Genomic DNA, 26,958 nt, shown 5'->3' on the forward strand with positions numbered 1-26,958 from the left:
CAGGGACGGAGCTGAGAGTCTCCTGGGCCAATCTTCTTACTGTAGATGCAAGAAAGTGGAGACTGGAGAGGGGAAGGGACTTGCCCATGGCCACTCTCCAGTTAGGAGCAACGCCATGATTGCATTCCAGGTCTCTGCGGTTTCCACAATAGCCTCTTCTCAGAGGTGGCCTGTGGCCCTGATATACTTTTCTGCAATGTATCGTCAACAGTGATACCGAAAATGTCAGACAAAGGCTCTACACTTGTATTTTTCACCCTAGAACTCAGACACATTCCCAGTTATTTCAGGACTTTTGGAGTTGAACTAATACATGAAAAGCTGGTGTGACTTTCCACAGAGATGAGGCATCCTTAAAGTCTTAAGGATTTTTAAAACCCCTCTGAGCTGTCAGGGGCACCTTAAAATAAATGTAGGTACTCTCTCTCTTAATCCCATTAATTATTCATGTCTTACTTTCCATTCAAACTACTCATCTCCCAAGTACTCCATACATTTTTTTTTCCTAGTTGTAATCATGCAGTTCAATAAATCCAAAGAAGTTTGCAGTGCTGATGATCAGAGGCCCAAATCCTTTCAGTTCTGCCTAGGAAGGGATTAGGAGGTTTAACCTTTTTCTTCTACACTGAGCCAGTATCAGAAAAAAATGTAAGAACTAACTTAGGAAAAAGCACCAAGGAAGAGGTGCTGTCAGTCAGCATCCCATGGTATAGCCAGCCAATGTGTCCCTGGATATTTTGTGAGGGGGCATGTCCTTCCTAATGGTGTCTCTGAACATTCCCAAATATCCTAACGTGTACTTAGGGAACTGATATGGTTTAATCAATTTCTATGGATAGATCGATTGATAGGACTCTTTATACACACAGATACATATCAATATATGTACATATACACATACATACATCTACACACATATATAGACATGTATATTAATCTATGCACGCACATGTGTGTGTGCATGTATGTGTTCTTGCAGACCTTTTCAAAATAATGCATCCCATAATGTTAATCACCATGTAGAATAGAATTTAGAGATGCTGGTTTTCCAATACCCAAAGACGACGGATGCAAGCAGGAAGAATCCGTTCTAATATTTTAGAATATTAATGTGGGTGTGGGAAATTGTCCTTGTTTTCCTTTGTGATTTTTATTCTTAGGCCCATTAATTGGCAAAGAAGATGAAGGCTGGATGTACCTCATGGAAAATGCCTGGATGGGAAAGGGGACATCCTCACCAAAACTCCAGGTTTAAAACTGTGGCTGGGCACCCCATCAATGAGTCAGTCACCCTGAGGAGGACTGAAATAAAATGTTTGCTCTACAAGCCTCACAGATAGCAGGACCAACCATGTCCTTAAAGTATGCATTCAAATACTTGAATGCATACTTCAGCGGAAATTTTCCTATTCTGAGGGGTTTTGCTTTATCTGTTACAGTAGCCAAATTTTGGTGCTTTCTATAGCAAAGAATTCTAAATAAATGCCCACAAAAGCCAGCAGCATAGCCAGTAGACATCAGTAAGGAAGATGGTGAAAGAACTGAGAGGGCTGGAGTCTAGGACATGGAGTGCGCTCATCCATGCTGAAAGGGGCAGGACTCAGCTCCAGCAATTGTGGGCATTTGTGGGTATGGATTCAATATTTACAGGTCATTCTATTTTATAAGAGAGGCTAGAAAATACCAATTTTAATACCAAGGAAACCATCTGGGCTGCATTAGGTCCACAGTACACCAGCTTGAGACCTTTCCTGTCTAGGGCTACTCTTTGGCTAACCAGTCAGTACCGTGCAACTAACAGGCTAGCACAATAAGCAGCGTGACCATTCTCTCTCTCTCCCCCATACCCTCAAAAACAGTATTTTGTTCTAGCAATGTTACATTATGAAATGATCATTTGGGAGAATAAATTCAAATAAAATTAGAGATAACTCATATTATTCTGCAATTAACTTGATCAAATTTAACCAATATTAGTTGTTTGCTACTGTTTAGCAGATTCTGTGCAGGCCCAATGACACGTTAAAGCATTCTTTCTTTTCTCCATAACTAGTACTGCCCCCGGATTCAGGTAAGAGGGCCCCACCTGGTCCTGTACGCCGGCCAGCACTGCTTAGACTTTGTGTGCACCCAGATGTCCCAGGGGTCTTGTTAAAGTGCTGATTCTGATTTAGGAGGCCTGGGGTGGGGTCTGAGATTTTGCCTTTCTAACGAGCTCCAGAGCAATGCAGATACTGCTGGGGCCCAGCTGCATTTTGAATAGCAAGGCTTAGAGACCCAGCTCTGGCTGCTTCTGGCTGTGCCCTGCTGATGGGGTGAGGAGTCTTGAGGGTGAAAGGGTAGTGCCCATATGGAGGCCATGCCCTCCACCTTCTTGGCCACACTCTGGGTTCTGGGACCCTGAGATTCCCTTCTTGAATGGCTCCCAGCCCTCAATCAGGACCTGCATGGACCTCTTTTGTGGACCATCCTTCCCGAGGCTCACTAGTCAGCTGAAGCATTGGCATAGGTGTATACGGGAGGGGCAGAAGCAGCTTGGCCTGAGGCCCAAGGCATCCACATACTTGTGCGTAGTGTCCAGCAATCAGCTGACCAAGCTCTGCACGTGATTGTGCTGCACACTCAAGTTGAGAGCCACCTATGTAGACAAAGCAGGACCAACAGTAAATATCAGTTTCTTGGAAACCATCCCAAATAATCTGAGATCAGTAATCTAGGAGTAGTGTCGTTTCTCTTCCTCTGACAACATTGCAAGGCAGCCTCCCCTCTCTTTCCTCTTAGCTCTACTACTAGGTTTTGAGTTTGGACAAGACAGCTCCCCTCTCCAAGCTTCCAAGTTTTTAGCCACAAAGTAGGAGCTGGGCTACCAATCATGAGCATGTTGCCAGAGTCTCTTGTAGACTGTAAAGTCAGTGAATCTGAATAGATCTCCCTTAAAATCTATGACATGTCTTCAGCTTCACTTATTCACATTAAAATCTCACTGATTAGTGTCATAAATTTTCTCTTTGAGCACACATATACCCCTGGGTGGGATAAGGGTCAAAGAGCTGCATGGGACAGCACTTCTCAAATGCTGACATGCACATGAATGGGGGTCTTGCTAACGTGCACATTCTGATACAGGAAGTCTGGGGTGGGGCCTGAGAGTCTGCATTCATAGCAACCTCCCGGGTTATGCCAGGCTGCTGGTCTGGGAGCAGACTTCGATAGCAAGTGTCTGTGGTGGCAATAAGTTTGATCAGATTGCTTCCTTTTGAAGACCTTTGATAAATCTGAGAGGAAAACAGTGTTTTATGGAGGCAGAGAAAAGAGGAGGAATTAATTGATAGCAGGGTACACAAAAGTGTATCTTTTGTTAGGTAATCAGTGAACTGTGACTATTCATAAGAGAGAGCAGTGGGGACTGTAGCAAACTGGAGAGAATGGGCCTCAGTGACGGAGTGGGTGCCACTCAGCTCTAGTACCTTGGCACCATGAAGCCACATGACCCCTAGTGCCAGATCTTCCAGCTTTTTGAGATAATCCAGTCACTGAATTCTATGAACTTTTTTGATTTTTATATGTCAATTACTTCACATCAAACTAACTGGCCAACTAAAAACCAACTAGTATCATGTGAGCCAAACAGAACGTGTATGAAGAACAAATGGTGTGTGAGTGAACAAATTCTAGATGGGAAAGAAGTCCTTCCTGGGCCCTGGAGGTTACAAGGGTAGGGAGAGGACACTTCCTGAGTATAATAGGGGTTGGGTAATAAAAAGAAAGTGGGAGGCCTTGGAAGACCAACATGGCTACTTCCAAAGATGTTGCCTACTTACTCCGTCTCTCCCTCCTAGAGATGCTGCAGAATTTCTCCCTCTGGAGCTTGAGGTAGGAGGAAATAAAGAACAAGGGGCTCACAGCTGAATCTGGATTATGAGTGAAGTGTTTCTACTCAGGGGTAGGGAGGGGACCCAGGCCCCCTGTCTCCCTTGTGGTAGCACTGCTGTCCAGTGACCCTTGGGGAGTGTTTTCTCTATCCATCTGCTGAACTGGCTCTTTGCTCTTCATGGGAGGCTCTGTGGACACAGGATGTTTAGGTCCCTGTAGGTAGCCTTGTGGATGGTAAGATTCCAGAGAGTATCCCTGAGGGCAAGTTGGATACAATGAGTTGGAGAGACTTCATCTAGTCCACTCTCATTTTGTGACAATCTGAATCTCACTGAAGGTCTAGATGGAAACCAAATTCTGGAGGTCAGGTTTTGGCGTCCCCTTCAACTTCACCTCTAGGTTATCAGGAGAACTAAATGTGAGCATGTGTGAAACATGCTTTGTAAACTATAAAGCACCACAAATATGTCAGTGATTGTTAGGAGGTAGCAGGAAGTCAGCAAGCTCAGTTAGTATCCCAGCTCTTACTAACTCTGTAAACATAGTCAAGTGACTTAACTTTGCCAGACTTGTCTCTCCACCTGTAAAATGGGGTGCATAAAGCCTATCTTACCTCTGTGAAGATTAAATGAAATAGTGCATATAAACTACTCAGTATTTCATCTGACCCAAAATAGCTGCTGCTCAATAAACAGTAGCTAATATTATAGTTATTTCTAATATATATAAATACTTCATTTCATTTATACTTTTAAATGCTTTTTAAAATTATGCAAGTGCTTTTCAAGTCAAAAATCAGAAAATTCTGATGAAAAGAAAATAAAAATCAGTTATGATCCCCATATCTGGAAGTTAGTCACTGATACCAACTCCGGACACTTTTCTAGACTTTTGTATACACATTCTACTGTAAAGATATAATTACAGTGTTTTACAACTTGACTTAGCAACATATTACGAGAAAAATTCCACATCAATAATTATATTTTATGTCATTTAAAAGAACTGCAGACTCTCCCACTTCTGGGGAGATGGAGTAGATAAAATTTTCCTTATTCCTTCCTCTGAGTACAACTAGAAACCTTGAATATTATATATAAAACACGTATAAGAAGACTGAAAAATGGATAGAAAAAGGCAGACTGGATAGAGGCTTCAGGACCTAAACAATGACTCACTGATGAGTTTCCTGGTTACTCTGTTGTTGTTGTTGTTCTAACCTTATATATCCCAATGTTAGAGCTGAAGAAGCTGAGAACCTGGAAACTCCAAGAGGCACAGACCGAAAAATAAATAAATAAACAAACAAACAAACAAATAAATAAAGGCTTTCTAGTAAAGTTTCAGTAAAGGGGAAGCCTAGCAAGGTAGAATATATTTACACGATAATTATTACACTCTGGCCAAACGCCACAGGATAAACTGTGGACCAGTCCTACACATGCTAGCAAAGCCTGTCATGAGGTGCTTCAACACCCACACACAGGAGCAGTGTTAGAGAAGGCCAAATAGGGAGCCAAGACTCTCAGCTCTGCCTGATATCAAGTTCTCCTTGCACCCCAACATCACGATGTTAGTGGGGAGCAAAAACTCACCCTGCCCAGCAGTAAGGATGAGATTCCTTCCATGGGGAGTGGCTGAGTGGGGAGCTTGGACTTCTACCATCACGGAAAATAATGAAGTAGTATCTCTCCTCTTCCTGCTGGAGTGATGTCAGACAAAGCTAACTATAATAGAAGACTTAAATAAGATCTAGAGGTTCTTAACGATATAAAAATATGCAGGTTTCAAACAAAGATCACTTGTCATACCAAGAACCAGGTAGGTCTCAAACTAATGAAAAGACCATCAATAGAGGTGAACACAGAAATGGCAGAGATGTAAGAATAATTTGACAAGCATTTTAAAGTAGTCTTCATAAAAATGCTTCCATGAGCAATTATGAACACCCTGGAAGCCAATTTAAAAATAGCAAGCCTCAGAAAAGAAACAGGAGATCTCAGCAAAGGAATAGAGGATATGAAGAAGAACCAAATGAGAGTTTTAGAACTGAAAAATACAATAACCAGAATAAGAAGCTCAGTGGATGAGCTCCACAGCAGAATGGAGGAAACAAAGGAAAGAATCAGTGAAGTCAAAGAAAGAACAATTGCAATTTTACCAAATTTAAGCAGCAGAAAGAAAATAGACTGAAAAAAAAAGAATAGAGGCTCAGAGACCATGAACTGTAACAAAAGATCTAATGTTGTGTTACTAAAATCTTGAAGGAAGAAAAAAAGGGTGAGGCTGAAAAAGTACTTGAAAAAATAATGGCTAAAAATTTCCAAGCTTTGGCAAGAAACAGAAACCAACAGATTCAAGAAGTGGAGCAAATCTCCAACAGGATAAACCAAAGAAATCTACACCAAGGTATGTCATAATTAAGCTTCTAAAAACTAAAAACAAAGAAAAAATCTTGCAAGCAGCCATAAAAAAAAGAAAATAAAAAGATGCCTTGCTTCCAAGAAAAAAACAATTAGAATGGCAACAGATTTCTCATCAGAAACCTTGAAGGCCAGAAGAAAGTGGCACGGTATTTTTCATGTGCTGCAAGAAGAAATCAAGACATTCGAGATGAAGGAAAGCTAAGTGAACTTGTTGCCAGCAGATCTACCCTAAAAGAGTAGCTAAAGGAAATGCTGCAAACAGAAAGGTCATGATAAAAGAAGGAACCTCAGAACATTAGGAAAGAAGAAAGAATAGGATAAGCAAAAATAGAGGTAAATACAATAGGTTTTCTTTGTCTTGAGTTTTCCAAATTATGTTTGATGATGGAAGAAAAATTGTAACACTATCTGATGTGGTTCTAAATGTCATGGAAAAATATTCAAGATAATTATTTTATAAATGGGTGGAGGGTATAGAGGTTAAGTGAAGGTAAGATTTTTATATTTCACCCAAACTGGTAAAATGTTATCACTAGTAGACTGTGATAAGTTATGGATATATAATACAGCAATCAGTACAAATCTATACAAGGAAATATACTCAGAAACATAGATAAATCAAAGTGGAAGTCTATAGTGTTCAAGTAATCCACAGGAAGGCAGAAAAGAGAAAATAACAGTGAAAACAGAAGAAGGTGAAAACAAAAAATTATATGGTAGACTTAAGCTCTAATATATTAATGTATAAATTCAATGTAAAAGATCATAAAATATTAATTAAAAGTAACTGACAGAGTGGATGAAAAAGCATGGCCCAGGTGACTGCTAACTAAAAACAATTCACTTCAAATATGTTATTGGCAAGTTGGAAGTAAAAAAATTGAAAAAGATATATGATACATTTATCAATCAAAGGAAGACAGAAGTGGCTATATTAATTTCAGATAAAGTAGAATTCGGAATAAAGAAAATTGATAGACAGGGACATTATACAATGATGAAAGGATAAATCTAACAAAATATAACAATTCTAAATGTATAACAAACAACAGATCTGAAAATATGCAAAGCCAAAACTGATAGCAATTAAAGGAGAAATAGACAAATTCATAAATAGGTGAAGATTTCATCTTTCTCTAAACAATTGATAGAACAATTGATAGAAAATTAGCAACAATATAGAAGACTCAACACTATCAACCAAAAGAATGAAATGAATATTTATAGAGCACTCCACTCAACAACAGTGGAACAGATACTCTTTCTAAGTGCCCTTGGAACAGCCATCAAAATAGATTGTACTCTGGGTCATGGAACAAACCTCAACACATTTAAAACAACTGAAATCCTGCAAAGTGTGTTCTCCAACCACTATGAAATCAAGCTAGCAATCAATAGCATAAAGGTAATATAAAAATCTCTAAGCACTTGGAAACTAAACAACACAATTATTCTAAATAATCCACGGATCAAAGTCAAAGTCTCAAGAGTAATAAATAATACATTGAACTGAATGAAAATAAAATTATATCACAATTTGTGGGATACTGAGAAATCATTGTTGAGAGGGAAATTTATATTACTAAATCTGTATATTAGAAAAGAGGAAAAGTCTCAAATCAATAACATAAGCTCCCACCTCAAGAATCTATAAAAGAAGAGCAAACTTAAAACCAAAGCAGGCAAAAAGAAGGAAATAAAAATGATAAGAATAGAAATCAATGAGATAGAAACAGAAAATAGAAAAAAACAATGAAACAAAGAGTTGGTTCTTTGAAAAGGTCAATAAAATGGATAAATCTGTGGCAAGAAAAAAAACGACACATTACCAGTATCAGGAGATATCACTACAAACCCTGAAGGCATTCAGAGGATAATAAGAGAGTACTATGAGCAACTCTACACACGTACATTTTACAAGAAGATGAAGTGACTGGCATTCTTGAAAAATGCAAACTACCACAACTCATCCAGTATGAAATAGATAATTTCAATAGGCCTATGGCTGTTAAGAAAATGGAATTCATAATTTTAAAACTCCCATAAAAAACTCTTGGCCCATATGGTTTCACTAGATAATTCTACCAAATATTTAAAGAAAAATTAGTACCAATTTTACATAATCTCTCTGAGAAGACAAAAGAGGGACCGCTTTCTAATTTATTTTATGAGGCTGATATTACTTTGACACCAAAACCAAAGACAATACAAAAAAAGAAAAGTATAGACTCTTACGAATATAGGTACAAAAATCCTTAACAAAATATTAGAAAATAGAAATTAGAAAAACATACAAAGATTTATACCAACATGGTCAAGTGACCTTTGTTCCAGCAATGCAAGATTGGTTCAATATTCAAAAATCAATCAATGTAATCCACCATTTTACAAGCTAAATAAGAAAATTACATTAACATATAAATTGATACAGAGAATCATTTGAGAAAATTCAACACCCATTTATGACAAAACTTATAGAAAAGTAGAAATAGAGGAAATTTCAACTTAATAAAAAACATTTATTTTTAAACCCCTAGAGTTAAAATTCTGCTTAGTTGTGAAAGACTTAATGCCTGCTCTCTAAAATTGGGACTAGAATAAGGATGTCAACTCTCACCACTTTCATTCCAAGTAGTACTGAACGTTCTAGTTAATTACAATAAGACAAGAAGAGGAAAAGACATACAAATTAGAAAGGAACAAATAAAACTGTCCCTGTTTGCAGATGACATAATTGTCTATGCAGAAAATTTCAAGAAATACACATACAAAACAGATCGAAACTATTTTGTTTGTAACTAATAAGTGAGTTCAGCGAGGTTACTGAGGGCAAATCAACACAAATCAATTGCATTTCTATATATTAGCAATAAGCATGTTGAAATGGAAATATAAAATACAATACCATTTACAATCACTCAAAAAACACAAATGCTTAGATATAAATCTAAGAAAACGTGTATTACTCATATGCTAAAGACTACACAACGATAATGAAAGTTTACAAAGTTCCAAATAAAGAGAGAGACGTACTATGTTCATGGATTGGGAGATTCATCATACTAAAAGTGTCAGTTCTCCCTAAATTGATATACAGGTTTTATGCAATTCCTATAAAATCCTAGCAAGGATTTTTTTTTTTTTGTATATATAGACAAAATTATTCTAAAATTTAGCTGGAAGGGCAAAGGAACTAGAATGACTAAGACAATCTTGGAAAAGAAAATAAAGTTGGAGAAATCAGTCTATGTAATTTCAAGACTTATTATATAAGAATTCTACAGATTTCAAGGCTGTGTAGTATTGATGGAGGGGCAGACATATTGATCAATGGGACGGAATAAAGAACTCAAAAATCAGATCCAATATGCTCATCTGATATTTGAGAAGGATGCAAAGGTAATTCAATGGAAGAAGAATAGCCACTTCAATAAGCAGTGCTGGAACAATGGACACAAAATTAACTTTGACCTATGTCTTACACCTTATGCAAAAATTAACTCAAAATTAATTATGGACTCACATGTAAAACATAAAACCATAAAACTTTTGTTTGAAAAACAGGATAGGCCGGGCGTGGTGGCTCATGCCTGTAATCCCAGCACTTTGGGAGGCCGAGATGGGTGGATCACCAGGTCAAGAATTCAAGACCAGCCTGGCCAAGATGGCAAAACCTCAACTAAAGACTACAAAAATTAGCCAGGCATGGTGGCAGGTGCCTGTAATCCCAGCTACTCGGGAGGCTGAAGTAGGAGAATTGCTTGAACCTAGGCAGCAGAGCTTCCAGTGAGCTAAGATTGCACCCCTGCCCTCCAGCCTAGGCAACAGAGTGAGACTGTATCTAAAAAACAACAAAAAACAAACAAACAAGAAGGATATTGGGAGGCTGAGGTGGGTGGATCACCTGAGGTCAGGAGTTTGAGATCAGCCTGGCCAACATGGTGAAACCCTGTCTCTACTAATAAAATAAAATAAAATAAAATAAAATAAAATAAAATAAAATAAAATAAATAATTAGTTGGGCGTGGTGATGCGTGCCTGTAATTCCAGCTACTTGGGAGGCTGAGGCAGGAGAATCACTTGAACCCAGGAGGTGGAGGTTGCAGTGAGCTGAGATTGCACCATTGCGCTCCAGCCTGGGTGATGGAGCAAGACTCTGCCTCAAAAAAAAAAAAAAAAAAAAAAAAAAAAAAAACACACACAAACACAAAAAACAGGATAGTTTTTCTGGATCTAGGGCTAGGTGAAATACTCTTAGACTTGACACCAAAAACTTAATTCATAAAATAAAAAATAAATTGTGGTTCAAAATTAAAAACTTCTGTTCTGTGACTCTGTTAATAAGAAAAAAAGACAAGTTACAGAGTGAAAGAAAATATTTACAAGTCACACATCTGACAGAGGGCTAATATGTAGAATGTATAAAAACTCTCAAAACTCAACAAGGAAATGACCCAATTAGAAAATGAACAAAAGACATAAAAAAACATTTCACCAGAGAAGTTATACCGATGGCAAAAAAGAACATTAAAGGTGTTCAACTTCATTAGCCATCAAGGAATGCAAATTAAAACCACGTGACATAGCACTACTATCAGACTAGCTGAAATAAAAATTGGTGTCAACACCAAATTCTGATGAGAATGCAGAGAAAATGGAGCATTCATATATTGCTAGTGAGAATGTAAAATGGTACAGCCACTCTGGATACAAGCTGGCTGTTCCTAAAAAACTAATCATGAAACCACCATACAACCTAGCAATTCACTCCTGCGCATTTATCCCAGAGAAATGAAGACCTATGTTCCCACAAATCCTGCAAAGAAATGATTATAGTAGCTTTATTTGTAATTGCTCTCAAAGTGAATAGAATCTGGCTGTCCTTCAGTAGCTGAATGGTTAAACAAATGTGGTACTTCCATGCCATGGAATACTATTCAGCAATAAAAAGCAGTGATCTGCATAAATATCCAGAGAATTACGCTGAGTAAAAAAAAAAAAAAAAAAAAAAAAGCCAAAGAGTTGCATACTGTATAATTTCACTTATATGACATTCTTGAAATGATACAATTATAGAAATGAAGAAAAAGATTAGTGGTCACTAGAAGTTAAGGAGAGAGAGAAAGTAAGAGGCAAGTGGGTATGGTTATAAAAAGGCAACACCTTTTATAAAACACCCTGATGGTGTTGGAAACTTTCTGAATCTTGTGATATTGTTCTATAGTTTTCCAAGATATTACCATTGAGGGAAACTGGGTAAAGAGTACATGAGCTCTGTCTGTATTATTTCTTACAACTGCTCATGCATCTATAAATGTCTCAAAATAAATGTTTGATTAAAAAGTTTGATCTGGAAGTAGACTCTAGGATGAATAAATAAAAACAACAACAACAAAAACAATTTGATGAGCTTAAAAAAGGATTGCAGACAATTGCCTCCTATGAATATACTTCTTCAACCAATTTCTTATTGTTTGGACATTTTAGTTACTATAATTTTCTTATTTCAGCAATCACAGGGATGACTGTCCTTGTAGCTAAATTTTGACATATATTCTTTCACTTCCTTGTAAACATCCCTAGAAATTGAATAGCTGGTCAATGGCTTATATATTTTTTCACATTTTTCGGACCCCTTTGAGCCCAAGGTATAGAAAGAATCAATATTTGGAAGCATTGTATTTATGGGACAATTCAATATACGAACAAGAAGAAAATTTTTAAAAGATGACAGCCCTCTCTGAATTTATCTTGAACAATTTAGGCGTAAGAAGTTGCTAATGTGGCATAATAAGCACAATTTGAAGGCTTTAAATACATGTTTCAATGTTTTATCCATTTGAAAAATGTAGATAATACGAATTCCTGCCTTCTGAAGTTGTTGTGGGGATTAAATACATGTAAAGCACTTGGAGGAAAACTTAGTACATTATAAAGTCTCAATAAATGTTAGCTACTATTATGATTTTGATTATGATTGAAATCCAAAAATATCGCAATAATTGACACTGGCCTATAGGAGGAAACCCATTGCCTCATTCCCTTGCCAACACCATGCATTACCAACCATTTCTATCTTTGCTATGTTTTATTGTTATTTTAATTTTCATTTCTTAGATTAATAATGAATGGGGCTGGGTGTGATGGCTCACGCCTGTAATCCCAGCACTTCAGGAGACTGAGGAGGGAGGATCATTTGAGCTCAGGAGTTCGAGACCAGCTTGGGCAACATAGTGAGACCTCATCTCTATCTTTAAAGTAATTTGTTCCTTTTTAAAATAAAATAAAATAATGAATTGGAACACATTTTTCATGTATTTATGGGCCATTATATATATTCTTTTGTGCCTTGCCTGTTTGTATTTCTTGTCCATTTCTCACTTAGGATGTCTTTGTTGCTTCGAAGGAATTTTTTTTTTTTTTGAAATGGAGTCTCGCTCTGTCACCCAGGCTGGAGTGCAGTGGCACGATCTTGACTCACTGCAACCTCTGCCTCCCCGGTTCGTGCCATTCTCCTGCCTCAGCCTCCCGAGTAGCTGGGACTACAGGCACCCGCCACCATGCCCAGCTAATTTTTTGTAATTTTTTTAGTGGAGACGGGGTTTCACTGTGTTAGGCAGGATGGTCTTGATCTCCTGACCTCATGATCCGCCCGCCTCGGCCTCCCACAGTGCTGGGATTACAGGCGTGAGCCACCGTGCCCCGCCAGGAATTTTTATACAGTAAAGTAATTAACCCTTTTGCACTTATAGTGAATATATATATGTGTGTGTGTGTGTATATTATATACATATATATATATATATGCATATTTTAGAGACAGGATCTCACTCTGTCACCCAGGCTAGAGTGCAGTGGCGTGATCATAGCTCACTGCAGCCTTTAACTCCTGGGCTTAAGCAGTACTCCCATCTCAGCCTCTCAAGTGGTTGGGACTGCAAGAACACACCGTAACACCCAGCTAATTTTTTTTTTTTTTTTTTACTTTTTGTAGAGACAGGGTTTCCTGTGTTGCCTATGCTGGTCTTGAACTCCTAGCCTAAAGTGATCCTCCTGCCTCAGCCTCCCTAAGTGCCACAACACTCAGATTTAAAATATTTCTATTAATTTGTTCAGCTTTTAATACTTTAAATTATGTTTTTTGATATGAAAAGTTTTAAAAATTTTAGGTAGTCATAGTTTAGGTGACAATAATATCTTTATGCTTTTTGCAATTGTTGTTTTGTTCATAAGAACCTTCCTCATAGGAAAATTGACCACCTTTATATTTTTCGTGTTTTATATTATTTAATTTTTACTGAATCTTGGGTGCAAAGAATTGCTTATTTGTGACACACTGTCACCACTGGTGCACACATGGTCCATGTGTAGTCAATCTCATGATTTTAAAATGTGGTAAGCATCCATGAACCCATCATTTAATAGAATAACTAGGATCTTGAAATAATTTATACTCTTCCATGTGATCTGTACACCTCCTATCCTCCTGCCTCCTTCTACTTGAGAAAAATATTCAGAAGTCTGTGTTTATCTTTTTCTTTTAGATATATAGTTTCATCTTATCTATGCGCTTTCCTAGGAAGTACATATTTTATTCAAGTTGTTTTTATTTGTATAAAAAGCCTGTCATGCTGCATGTAATCTTCTGGCACTAGCTTTTCTCCACTTAATATTATTCTGCTCAGGCTAATTGCTATTTACCTGTGTCTACCATATTTCAACTGCTGCACATATTCAGTTGTGTCTATATACCACAGTTTTTCAAACACTGCCCCATTTATAGACATTCAGGTCACTATTATGCCTATTACTGTTCTGAATGCATTTACATATTTTTTTTTCTGGTGTGCAGGTGAAAAGATTTCTGTCGGGTCTATACTCAGGAATAGAATTGCTGGGTTATATGGTATGTGCCAAACTGTTTGCCAAGGGACTATATATATCTTTCCTTTCCAGAAACCTTGTTTAAAAAGATCCCAGGGGACCACATCCTCTCCAACACTTGGTATTGCTAGATTTTTTAAATTTTTGTCAGTTGAATAGTGTTATGGTCTCTAAAATATGGTCTCTAAAATATGGTCTCTAAAATGTGTGTGGGTGCTGGATATTAAATGGTGCCTCACTATGTTCTTGGTTACCATGTCCCCAATCTATTCTTTTAATTATTGGCTTGGTTTTTTTTCTGCTGTCAGATGACGATTGTGACTATTGCTGATTTTCTTTTTACAATGTAATATTTGAAGGTAACTCTTCAGCAATATGAAATTTATTTTTGGTTAAGGTATGTATTCCTTTTAACAAATGGATAGTACATTTTTCCAACAATGTTTAGTAAACAATCTGCAATTCAGGCCTTTGATTTGAGATGTCAACTTTATCTTACACTGAATTTTTATAAATACATAAAATATGTCCTTTAATAAAATACATCCTTTCTGTACTCTTTATTTGTTTAATTGCTTGGTCTGATTTTCACACCAGTACCATCCTGTTAAAGTTGTAGTTTTATAGAACATATCATTAGGTCAAATTTTATTCGTTTTCCAAATATGTCTTCACTGTTTTCATTGCATTATTCTCTTAAGTGAAGTTTAGAATTACTTTGCCAAATTCCCTTCTATCCCACACTTCTAACTCACTCATCCTATTGATTTCATTTATATACACAGTCATCCCTCGGTATCTGTGGGGGATTGGTCCCAGGACCTTGCTCAGATACCAAAATCCCCAAATACTCAAGTACCTGATATAAAATAGTGTAGTATTTGCATATAACATACACATTTCTTCCTGTATACTTTAAATCATCTCTAAATTAATTATAATTCCAAATATAGTGTAAATGCCATGTAAATAGTTGTTATAATGTACTGTTTAGGAAATGATGACAAGAAAAAAGTCTGTACATGTTCAGTACAGACTCAACTTTTTTTCTGATTATTTTTCATCTGAGATTGGTTGAATCCATGAATGTGGAATCCATGGATATGGAAGGCCGTCTGTATGTAAATTTGAGAATTGATGTCTTCACAACATTAAGTCTCTGCATTTAAGAAAACAGTCTTTTTCACCTTTATTTGAATCTTATCTTGGAATATTCATCAAGAAAGTTTGTAGGTTTCTCCATGTACTTTCTTCACAATCTTCTTAAGTTTGTAATAAAGACTTTTGAGTAAGGTGATGACAAAATAATTATTGATCTTTCTTGTTTGGGTTGTCTTAACATCATGCAAGTAACAAACAGCCTTGTGTAGGTAGATCCCTTTAACACAATTAGCTGGAAAGCCCCTGCTGATTCAGGTGTAGACAATTGCAACTAGCCCACGACAGCCAGCATGGCTGTTTCAGCTTCACAGACCTGGCACCTATCAGGGGCTCAGTTGGTTAACATAAGATTAATAATTCATCAAATGATTTCACTAATTTAACCCAATTGAGAATCATTCTCTCTCTGAGCTCAGTTTTGCAGGCAAAGCATTTGGGGCTCTATGTTACTAGAACATGGTCTTCATTTTTCCTCATATTCTGTAGTGCACACCATCAAGTTTATTGTCTCCTTGAATAAGAGACCTTCACATAAGATAGATGTAACACACACATATATGCATACTGCATTTTACTGGGTATATATTCCATTTTTTAAAATCTAGCTTGGCTTTGAGAAAGAAGTATCAACCTTTGCACCCTGTGGTCTTTATCACCAGGCAGGAAGGCCATGAAAAAACGTTCCTCATTTGAAGTCTGGGAAACCCTCCACACTCTAGTGCTGACCAGCACTTTTGAGAGAAACCGCAGATCCAGGGGCTAGTAATGTGTACTAACAAGCTTTGTATCCTGAAATCCATACTGCAGAGGGGATTGAAATCTACAGAAAGCCACATCTGTGTGTTCCTCGCAGTCCCCAGCAAGGAGCCTGAATACAGCATGTCATTATGATTAATTGTGGGTAATGAGGGTCTTATGAAACCAAGAAAGAGAAGCGTTTATTTCTCTGCTGCTACAGTTATAGCCTCCGATTTGTTTTCAAGCACTCTACAGAGGACAGCCAAAATAGAATAGGAAATGACTATTCTCCAGCCATCCTTTACTTCCCTGCCAGGCATTTCAGTAAATTAACAGGCAGGGACCGGTTGGGGATTTTGTGAGCCTTCTCAAGGATATGATAAAGAAAAGACTTCCCAGTTCAAAGAATCTGTATAAAACCAGGCTATAGGAGAGATCAGCTGTGAGTTCTGAGAAGCTAAGTGGTGCTCTGAGTTCAGCTACAAATCGGACAACAGACCACAGTGAATAAAAGAATTCTTTTATGGAAGCAGCGGGTGTTTTCGTCATTCTCTAACCTACCAGAAGGTGGTGCAAATTCACTGCTGATACAGTAAAGGAGGACGTGGCTTTCTTTTCCAGCCCTACCCTGTCCAAGTACAGTAAAACAGAGAGAGAGAGAGAGATTTAAAAATAAATTAGACAGGAATATTTAATCTTTTTAAAAACAAATAACTCCCCTTCAAGTTGTCTAACATCTGTCAACTTATTTCTTGCTGAGACTCAGTTGATGTGAGTCAAGCTAATAAAGAAACATGACACAAAGATTTGAAGAAGATAATTTTGAATATCTTAATGTAATAAAATTAAGATGGAGTATTTAATGGCTTAGGACAAACACTACATTAAGGAACTGGCCTATGTTCCTAGAGATTCTAACAAATAGCAAAGAAGTGGTTAATTGGACAAACATTTTATTCCATTAAAGCATCATTATAGTATTTTAATATTTGGACATAAAAAAATCTTTAGGATGAAGCACTATGAGTTTTGTGCAGCAGCACACGCATTTTTGAAATGAAAATTAACCTTTCTCCTAGGAAGATAATATAGGATGTAGAAGACCCAACAAGAGTGTTTAAAAACAAACAAAAACAAAACAAAAAACAAAACAGAAACCTTTCACTAACAACAACCAACATAACAAAACCCTCTTCATTTGGTGTGAGGGGAGTTGCTGGAAGCAAGCCCTGGCTTAGAGCAGCTCATCAGCTGTGTGTACTGGTGCCCACGTTTCCAATAGTCAAGAGTATTTTTAGAGATGGGACATCTACCTAGAAAGAAGAAAGTTTTAAAAAACAATTTGTTATTTCAGTAACATATCAACTGAGGGCACCATCAAAAATATTTTCCTAAATTCTCTTAATCTCCAAGACCACTCTATTATATCTAAACAGAGAAGGAGTATTTTTGAATAAAAAGAAAACAAAACAAACAAAAGCAAAACACCCCAAACCTTTTTATACAGAAAACAAAACAAAGCTCCAAATGAAGGCTTGAACATTTTCGAATTAGAATTTCTAAAGAAAACGCATCCAGAGAGTGACCTCAGAGTTCTGGGTAACTACTGATTTTTCAGCCCGAAATCGAGCATAGGTTTAGCAAACGTTACCAGGGAGAACAATGTATTTTTGTTTCTAACTCAAATCTATCTTTTAAAAAATTAATTTTCTCTCTCTATTGCCGGATTACATTTTCATTTAACTTTGGTGCCGTGCCTTGTAATTAGTTTTTCTTGATCTGTTTCTTGGAAGGAAAAAAAAAAGTTAGGGGAAAAAAAGATAAAAAACAAGCTTGTAGGTTGCAGTTAAAATATTTTGCTTTATCACGCCTGGCGTGAAAAGAACCAAGAACACTGAACCCAGGGCAGCAGCGAATCCCACGCCCCACGCTCCCTCTTCCCAAACCTCAATATCGTTGCTTAAAATCTTCCGGGCTTATTGTGAAGCCAAGGGCGCTTGGCATGGGAAGAGAGCCGCTCGTGATTTATTTGGGAGAGGGATGGGGTTTTGGAAAGGAAATTGGGGGGTTTACAAGGAGGACGGGTGGGTTTTACTCAACAACTTATTCTTGGGCGTTTTCGTGGACTGGAGAGGAGTTTCGATCCCGTCTCGGGCTCACCTGGGAAGCCCCCTCCTGGCGCCCGCTTTGTTTGGCGTTCCTTTAAAGCCCGGTGTTGGCAGAGCGACCCACAATGAAACAAATTCTCATTTTATGACGTCTTTCCCCCCGTAGGAGTCCGAACAATGTCTGGGGGCTTGGCACGCATGAAGATAAAAGAATTTTATTTTAAATGCGATACATGTCAGGATTAGACAGCGTTTCCTTTCAGCTAAACTACAGAGCGAATCTTCATTTCCTGTTTCACTGCTTCCCCCGAAAGAAACTTTTCTTTTTCTTTTTCTTTTTCTTTTTTTTTCTTTTCTTTCTCTCCCCCAGCAGAGAGTCCGAGAGAAAAGTGCTGGGCACAGAGCTCCCCACGAGGTCCCCGGAAAGCAGACTTAGCTCCTGATCGTTGTCAATCTTTGGGCAACCCGGGGCCTCGCAACGGCTCGGGTTTAGTGTGATCTGGGGAGGCTGCAGCCCAGTTCCGGCTACCGTGGGCGCCTGAGCAGAGCCGGGGCGAGTTGTAAACCTCAGAGAAAGGCACTTGTCCCCAGCAAAACGCTTGGAGAGGACCGTGCACGCTGTGCTGCCCCCGCCCCGAGACGCGCCGGGCCGCCGGGTCACCGGTTTTCCGAAAGGGACCCGGCAGAGACAAAGTGCCTTCGCCGCTGCGATAGGTTGGTTTTACTTTGCAATAAACAGCCCCTAATGGGACCGGGCGCCGGGCGGAGAGCTCGGCCCGGGGCGCGGCCTTTGCCGCCTGGCTCTGCGGGCCGCCCCGCCGGGCGCCAGGTTTTGGGGGGTGGCCCGGCCCCGCGTCCGCCACTGCAGGCCGCTCTCCTCCTTCCCGCGCACACAGCGGAGAAAAAAGGACGCAAACAGCATTTTACACTTTTCCCACTTTAGCGGGAATCGGAGGAGCCGGGCGAGAAAGCCCGAAAAGGGAGGCGGTTATTTACGACCGGCGGGTTGGAGTCTGGCACCAGATGGTGGGGGTCTGTCAGGCCCGGCCGCCCCGCCCAGCGCCCCGCAAACAGCGCCCGGTTGGCAGCGTCGCCTGAGCAGCCCCCATCTTCGCTTCCAGCCCCTCCCGTATATTTTCTCCCGTCCAAGTCGATCAAAGACGGACTTTAAAAATTACTCGCAATTAGACCCAAAAAAGTCATTCGTGATCTTTGGGTATTAGCACTTAACGGCCAGTGGTCTCTCCTTTCCCTCTGGAGGAGGTCGGGGTGGGGGCGACTGGGACCAGGTGGAAGGTAGTGTAGGGTTAAGAAGCGTCAGACCTCGGAGAAGGGCCTCACTTCCTCTTCGTTTTGTCGCCCTTTGTGTTACATACGGGGCAAGCAAGGTCTGCCAATCACTACCATTTCTCTTTCTTGTTCTATAAAGACAGGGTCGTCACAGCAACAGGGACATGACAGGCTGGTATCTCTCTCGAGCTCCAGGGGGCCCCTAATAGGATTGAAGCGAAAGATCAAGCGAATGGTTTCCTATTTTAGGCCCGTAATAACTCCCAACTGCTTGCATATACATGGGCCTTACAGTATTGAGGCAACTTTTAATCCCAGAAAAGAGCAGCCTGTTTTCTAGCAGGGTCTATTTTTGAATACCCTGTGGGATCCTCCCTCTCTCACCATCCTCCATCCTCCCCTTGATTTTGGGGAGTCAGGGTAAGAAGGAATCCCCTCCTCTGATTTTACTTATCACTCCTTCCCCAGAAGCTGAAGGTGTCCTTTCTTTTCATTAATTCATTTTACCAGCTCAAAGTAAATACTCCATTTGGAGGAAACAAAGACACCCCTTTTTGGTATTCTGTTGAAGTCCCTGGGTGAGATCAGAAGTTTCCACATCTTTTGGAGAAACTGGCCTTGGATGTACTTTGGCCAGACCTCTCCCCCCACCTCTCCAACACACATACCTACAAAACCAAAAAGCAACCTAAGGAGGAGTGAAAAGGTTTCTCTCCCCCAGGCCATTTATGTTCAAAACGAAACGTGAGGCCACGTGGGTGTGGGGAGTGCGTGTGCTGGGTGGGTGTCCTTTATCTGTGTGTTTCTGGAGTAGAGAGAGGAAATAAATGAAATGCGTGCGGCAAGAGGAGCGGTTTGTTTTCACCCCCAAGACCTGGGAAAACCCATCAAAAGAGATTGACTTCAGAAAACCGAGAATGCCTGGGAAATCTGAATGCAAACAGCCCTGGAATAATCAGCACCACCAACATCTGTCACCACAGCTGTTTCTTTTCTGGTTGGTGAGAGAACCCGTCTCTCTTCTGTGGGTTGGCAATGAACTCCAAGTAAGGGGCCCATCGTCTTTCTCTTCCAAACAGAATCCTCCAGGTCTCTGTTTATTTAGCCTGCTTAAAAGTAGAACACAATACAAAACAAAACAAGCATAATATTGCCACCTTTTAGGTGAAAATAAGTAGCCTGGTAAAGTAGGTTAGGAAGAATTATTCTTGACCTGTGGTCACAGATGAGGAAACTGAGGCATGGGGACAGCCTTTGATTTTCAAATTGATATCCAGTAAAAAATCAGAATTAATAAATCCAATCCTCAGCTCTTGGAAGGCACTCCGTTAAAAACAAAAAAAGCCCCCCAAAACAGGTGAGTAGTTGTATTATGTTTTTTCTTTTCATTCAATTCACAAATAATTATTAAGCTTATGGAACGTGGAAAACAAAATGCTTTGTTTTGCTGGGGGGAGAGAATGAAATATCTTCCTTGCCCTAAGAGAATATGTCTTCTGGGAGGGGCACTGTGACAAGCAAAGACATAGATACCAGGAAGTGCATGGTTACAGCAATGTGGTGGCTTGATCTGAGGTTATGGGAGGGAAGCCTGACAAGGGAACAAGGACACGTGATGTCTGGCTGGAGTAAGGAGCAGAGAATTCATGAAAGAAGCAGTAGCATTTGCCTAGGAGTTGAAGATTGGTTGAGATTTCGATGAGTTGAGGTGGGAGAAAGGCATTCAAATGCAGGGAACAGCATGCAATCCGGAGGGAACAACAAATTAGTTTTTGTTTCAGAGGATGGAGGGAGATAGAGCAGGAATGAAAGAGGAGAGAGATAAAGGCAGGCTAAGACTTGCCTGTGGATGAGGGGAGCCCCAGAGTGACAGACCTAGGGGGCATTTGTAAAAGGTGAATCAGGGGCTGTGCCCAGGAAGGATTTGGGGTTGGGCAGAAGGCCTGGATTCTGAGATCCCAGTGGGAGGCTATGGTGGTCATAAGGAATGAGGGCTGCTACAGGCCAGTGTTATGGGGATGGAGAGAAAGAATGATTTGGTAAGATTTGATGGCCAAAGCACATGGAGCTCAAAGCAGAGAGGCAGGTCAGAGGTGACTGGGCTTTCAAACCTGGGTAACCAGAGAATAAAAGACAGCCTCGTTATATGCAAGAAATTAAAATAGCATTTAAGGCTGGGCGCGGTGGCTCATGCCTGTAATCCTAGCACTTTGGAAGGCCAAGGCAGGTGGATCACGAGGTCAGGAGATTGAGATCATCCTGGCTAACACAGCGAAACCTCATCTTTACCAAAAAAAAAATACAAAAAATTAGCCGGGTGTGGTGGCACGTTCCTGCAGTCCCAGCTACTCGGGAGGCTGAGGCAGAAGAATCACTTGAACCCAGGAGACGGAGGTTACAGTGAGCCAAGATTGCACCACTGCACACCAGCCTGGGCAACAGAGCAAGACTCCATCTCAATTTAAAAAAAAAAAAAGCTTTTAAATCTACCATTACATTCATTGCAGCAGTGTTTAAAACATTGAACACTTCATTATAACAGAGAAACTCAGACACCAACATTGACGATCTTTCTTCCAGTGTTGAAGAGCTTTCTTTGTCAAAGCTGGGCACTTGGCCTCATGGTTGAGCTTCAGCCAGACTTAGAAAGCCAGCATCCCAGAGCTCAGTGACTTTGTAGGGTGGACGGAAAACCAGCTTGTAGAAGCTAAATTTTCCCCAAGACACATTACTCCTCCTTAGCATTCGTTACCATTTTTATACCATTATTGAGAAAGAAAATTAGAGAAAGATACCCCAGAGGCATTTTCTCCGCAACTGCCAGGAAGTGAGGAAATGTTCCAACGATGAAACTGATCTGGCATTTGTTTACTTTTCAGTTGCATCCAGTGTCTGCTTAAGAATGTTCTGATGGGCAGATACCTAGATTATCACACAGCAAATGCAAGCCAGAAAGGTGATAAATAGTGAAAAGGGCACCAGACTGGGCATGTGGGTTGGGAGTTCCCTTCCTGGTCCTGCCTGCTAGCTTGTGTGGCCTCATCCATGCAGCGGCACTCTCTGCCCTAGTTCCCTTCCTGAAAAACGAGGTGAATTGGGTGATTTTAAAGGTTCTTTCCAGCTCTGTGTGAGTGGATCAGTGATGTGCCTCTTGCTTTGGGTTTTCCCCAACTCTTTTTTCTCACATTCTGCATTCTGCTTTGCATGTGCAAACAGAAGGGATATTTATGTCAGATGATTTAGACCTTACTCTGGTTTTTAATAACTTTATTGACATTGAACTTTATTAATATTTTTAAAGCATCATTCTGTCTATTCTCCCTTGATCCACAAAACTGCCATGTAAAGTAAGTAAGCCAGGAGTTTTATTCCCAAATGTGCAGCTAATGATAACAATGATGATTTCTATTTACAGAGTGCCTGCCACATGTCAACATATGCCTTATATTGAATGTCTCACTTAATCACCACAATCTTCTAGGTACTGTTACTCCCACTTTACAGATAAGGAAGCTGAGACTTGTAGGGGCTGGGCCTCACCGAATGCCTCCAGCTTCCTGATGGCTGAGTCAGGATTTCAATCCTGGTCTATCAACTCCAACTCTGTGCTCTCTAAGACCTTTGGAGGTTATGTAAGGGTTGTCAACTGTCTTCCTCTACTACCCAATATTTTTTGTGGACATTTACCTCTGTACCATCAGAGAAAACCGTTGGCCAATGTGACCCTCCATTTGCTTTGTGGGCTTCCATGGCCTCCCCATGTGAAATATAAGGCCCAGATTTAAATCAGGCAAGCTGTTGACAAATGTCTATCAAGCACCCAGTATGTGTCTTACAGTCTACCACAGGCTTTGGAACCCTGAAGAAGTATTAGAAATGTCTCCTTCCATCCAGATTTTACAATCTGAGATGAAGAAACTAATTGAGCGAGTACAACATCAGTGAACGAGCAGTGTCCTGTGTTATCATGGAGACCACCAAACTTTATGGAAAGCTCATTCTGCTCCCACTGCAGCCTGGACTGTTTGGCTTAATTCTCATGAAAAGCTTATTTGATGGCTGCTACACAGTGAGAGCTTGTTGACAAAATCTACAACCAACATGCTGGTCCAAAGCAAAGACAGTTGGGGAACTTGTTCTTTGTGCAGTGGCGTCTTTGTCCTGGCCTTTGATTTGTTTCCTGGTATTTTAGCCCTGGAATTAATAGGTAAGCCAAACAGACCCAGTTCTGGCCATTATTGCATACTAATAATGGCTCAAAACAGTGGCTTGAAGCAACACACATTTATTCTGCTTTTGAATCCGAGGGTCAACTGGGCTCCGTGAGGCAGTTCTTGCTTAGGGTTCCTCAGACACTTGTAGTCAGGTGGTTCTGGGGCTGAGGTCATCTGGGAAGCTTCTTCACTCATGTGTCTGGAGCCTGGGCTGGGAAGACTCAGACAGCTGGGACCCCTTGGGCATGTCTCTCTAGGTGGCCTCCTCATGTGGTCTCTCTGTAAAACCATGAGAAGGCCCAGGAAGGCTCTCAGTGGCCTCCTTTGGGTCCTGTGCCCATTCTTGAACTCATCACTGTGGCCAGAGGGAGTTGTGCTTTGATTCTTATCTTGTTCTTACCTTGGGTCAACTCCACCCAAACTACTTAGACTGAATGTGGAAAAATGATGACTCCCAAGGGAAAATTGAAGTGAGGATGGATGATGGAAAATTAAGGCTAGCTGAGGTCCACTGGAGTTACTTGTTTCTTGCTGGTACTCATAGATGTTTGTTGATCATGGTATTGGATGGGGATAGGTCTCATACCCCTTTCCCTGAGATGCTGAGACCAGTGGCTTCTCTGCCTGGACTGGAAGCTACACATAGCTACACATAGCCTAGGGGTTGGAGCAGTGGGCAGCTTGGGGTTTTTATGAACCTACACTTCGGCTGAAGTTGCATTTTCCTACATATGTACCTTTGCTTATGCCATCTTCGCCACTCAGCATGGCCTTTCTACCCATGTCCACCATTTTAAATTAAATTGTCCAATTTGTAAGGCCGGATGTAAGAGCACACTAGCCAAAGATGAACTTTTTGTCCTCCGATCTCTGTGGCCTTGCTGTTCGAAGTGGAGCCCAAGCGCCAGCAGCATCAGCATCCCTTGGAAACTTGTCAGCAGTGTGGTCTTACTATGTACCTCAGAGCTACTGAATTAGAACCTGCATTTTAGCATGATTCCAGGTGTCATGTGGGCACAGCAAAGTCTGGGCAGCGCAATGCCAGAGCAGCAGTTCTCAGAGTGTGGTCCGGGAAAAGCTGAAGGTCTCTGAGACCCCTTCAGGGGGTTGGAAAGGTCAAACAATTTCCATACTAACATACTAATTTCTGCTGTGATAAATATAGCCGGGTGCAGTTATTCACACCTGTAAGCCCAGTACTTTGGGAGGCCGAACAAGTGGATCACTGGAATTTAGAAGTTCAAAACCAGCCTGTGCAAAATGGTGAAACTCTATCTCTACAAAAAAATTCAAAAATTAGCCGGACATGGGAGTGTATACCTGTAGTGCCAGCTACTTGGGAGGCTGAGGTGGGAGAATTGCTTGAGCTGGGAGGTTGAGGCTGCAGTGAGCCATGATTGTGCCACTGTACTCCAGCCTGGGAGACAGAGTGAGACCCTGTTTCAAAAAAATTAATGATAAATAAATAAATACAAATAGACATATGGCCAGGCGTGGTGGCTCACGCCTGTAATCCCAGCACTTTGGGGGGTCAAGGCTGGCAAATCACTTGAGCCCAGGAGTTCAAGACCAGCCTGGGCAACATGACGAAGCCCCGTCTCTACAAAGATTACAAAAATTAGCTAGGCATTGTGGCATGTGCCTGTAGTCCCAGTGACTTGGAAGGCTGAGGTGGGAGGATTGCTTGAGCCTGGGAGGAGGAGTCGCAGTGAGTCAAGATCGTGTCACTGCACTCCAGCCTGGGCGAAAGAGCAAGACCCTGTCTCAAACAAATAAACTCTCTCTCTCTCTATATATATATATATTTATATTTATGTATGTCTATATATTATGTATTTATATGTTTGCATATAAACATATAATATATATTATATATTTATATAAGTATATAGTTGATTTATATAATATATAACCTATTTTATATATAAACATTATATTTTATGTATTATGTTTATATATGTATATATGATATATTTATATATGTAAACATATAATTATATTGTATAATAAAGTATATTTATATATTTTTATATGTATTATAGGTAGACATAAACCACATAAGTTTTAAGAGTGTAAAGGGATTCTGAGACCAAAACATTTGAGAACTGCAGCTCTTGATCCTTCTGTCTCTGGCTAGGGAAAGTGTTGACCTTCCCTCCGCACTCTGGCTTCCGGCACTGAGCACAGCCCGCTAAGGGCATTGAAAGAGATCAACCTATACCTCCTTAGCCTTGAGGACAAGGAGAGGCTCCAGGGGTCACCCCCACCCACCCTGGGCATCAGGCTCTATGTAATCCACTTGCCAGGCTCATGGCTAGACACACAGCTCCTGAATATATATTTGCTGAAAACTGACAATTATAAAGATTTTGGGGGGTAATTAAAAAGAATTCAGATCCCCTAGCCCCTTGCCTTTGTCCTTTAATTTATGACACTTTTCAATGTTCAATTCACACTGCTCAAAGAGGAGCTCTTGCTCCCATTTAAAGAAAAGCAACACAGGTTAAGAAAGGGCCTCTCAACATCATGGAGTAAGCCAGTGCCATTTAGGAGCTGCGTTTCAAAATCCCCAGTGCAACTCCTTGTTGCCACACTATGGGTCTAGGAAAGGCCATAGATGAGCCCAGGGTGTTCCGATGCCTCGCTGCTGAGAATGGCTGAAACATCAAGTGGTGGTGGAGCCAGCCAGCCACTCAGGGGCCAGGAATGGAGTGCAGGGAATGTGGGTGTGGCTCGGACTTGCCTGCTCCTTCTGGACTCTACTCATCCCTACCATGCTTTCCACGAGTCCCATACTGGGCTGGTCCTGTACTTGGGAATCTCAGTTCTTTCCCTCAGCAGCGTGAAGAAATCTTCACTCTTGTTATCCTGACTGTTCCTATGAGGAAATGGAGGCTTTGAGAATAACTTGCCCAAAGTCCCAGTGGATAAATGGCAGATCTTGCCTTTAAAGACCTGCTTCTCTCCTTCTGCCAGAATGCCTCTGGCCCTCTTTCCTGATGGCTTTACTCCCCTGAGGATCTAGATTTATGATCTCCATAGTGCTTATTCATCAGTCTGATCAGAATATTGAGAAGGACTATTCTAGAACTGTCTTGGAATCAAAAGCCTATTCAGGTTGGACTGAAGCCTCCCTTCCTCCCTCCCTCTTCCTTCCTCTTCTCCTTTCTCTCCTTCTTCTCCTCCTTGTCTCTCTCCCTCTTACCCCTCCTCCTCCTCAGTAGCTCTTGGAACCCCAGGAAATGCCCTGTAAGAGGATGGACT

At 40.4% G+C, this 26,958-nt stretch overlaps 1 long non-coding RNA gene across 3 annotated transcripts in view, besides 2 other annotated features; it reads right to left on the reverse strand.

Moving 5' to 3' along the window:
- The window catches only part of LOC105373578 (uncharacterized), a 38,616-nt gene extending 17,565 nt beyond the window's left edge, over positions 1–21,051 (reverse strand). Inside the window, exons 1-2 of one of the 3 annotated variants that reach the window (XR_923249.3) lie at positions 18,243–21,051; positions 2,565–2,638 (exon numbers count right to left, since the gene is read on the reverse strand). This is a non-coding gene — a long non-coding RNA (uncharacterized LOC105373578). The other 2 variants (XR_923250.3, XR_001739664.2) reach the window with 2 other exon arrangements.
- Positions 16,496–16,790: an enhancer, noted in NCBI's record as "tiled region #9538; HepG2 Activating non-DNase unmatched - State 12:CtcfO". NCBI's record gives its function as "activates a minimal TATA promoter and a strong SV40 promoter by Sharpr-MPRA in HepG2 cells {active_cell/tissue: HepG2}" and the evidence as "EXISTENCE:reporter gene assay evidence [ECO:0000049][PMID:27701403]".
- Positions 19,009–19,058: a silencer, noted in NCBI's record as "silent region_11896". NCBI's record gives its function as "represses an Ori minimal core promoter by ATAC-STARR-seq in GM12878 lymphoblastoid cells {active_cell/tissue: GM12878}" and the evidence as "EXISTENCE:reporter gene assay evidence [ECO:0000049][PMID:35858748]".
- Positions 21,052–26,958: the final 5,907 nt, after the last annotated feature.

The sequence above is a fragment of the Homo sapiens genome, chromosome 2 (assembly GCF_000001405.40).
Source record: "Homo sapiens chromosome 2, GRCh38.p14 Primary Assembly".
Classification (NCBI taxonomy): domain Eukaryota; kingdom Metazoa; phylum Chordata; class Mammalia; order Primates; family Hominidae; genus Homo; species Homo sapiens.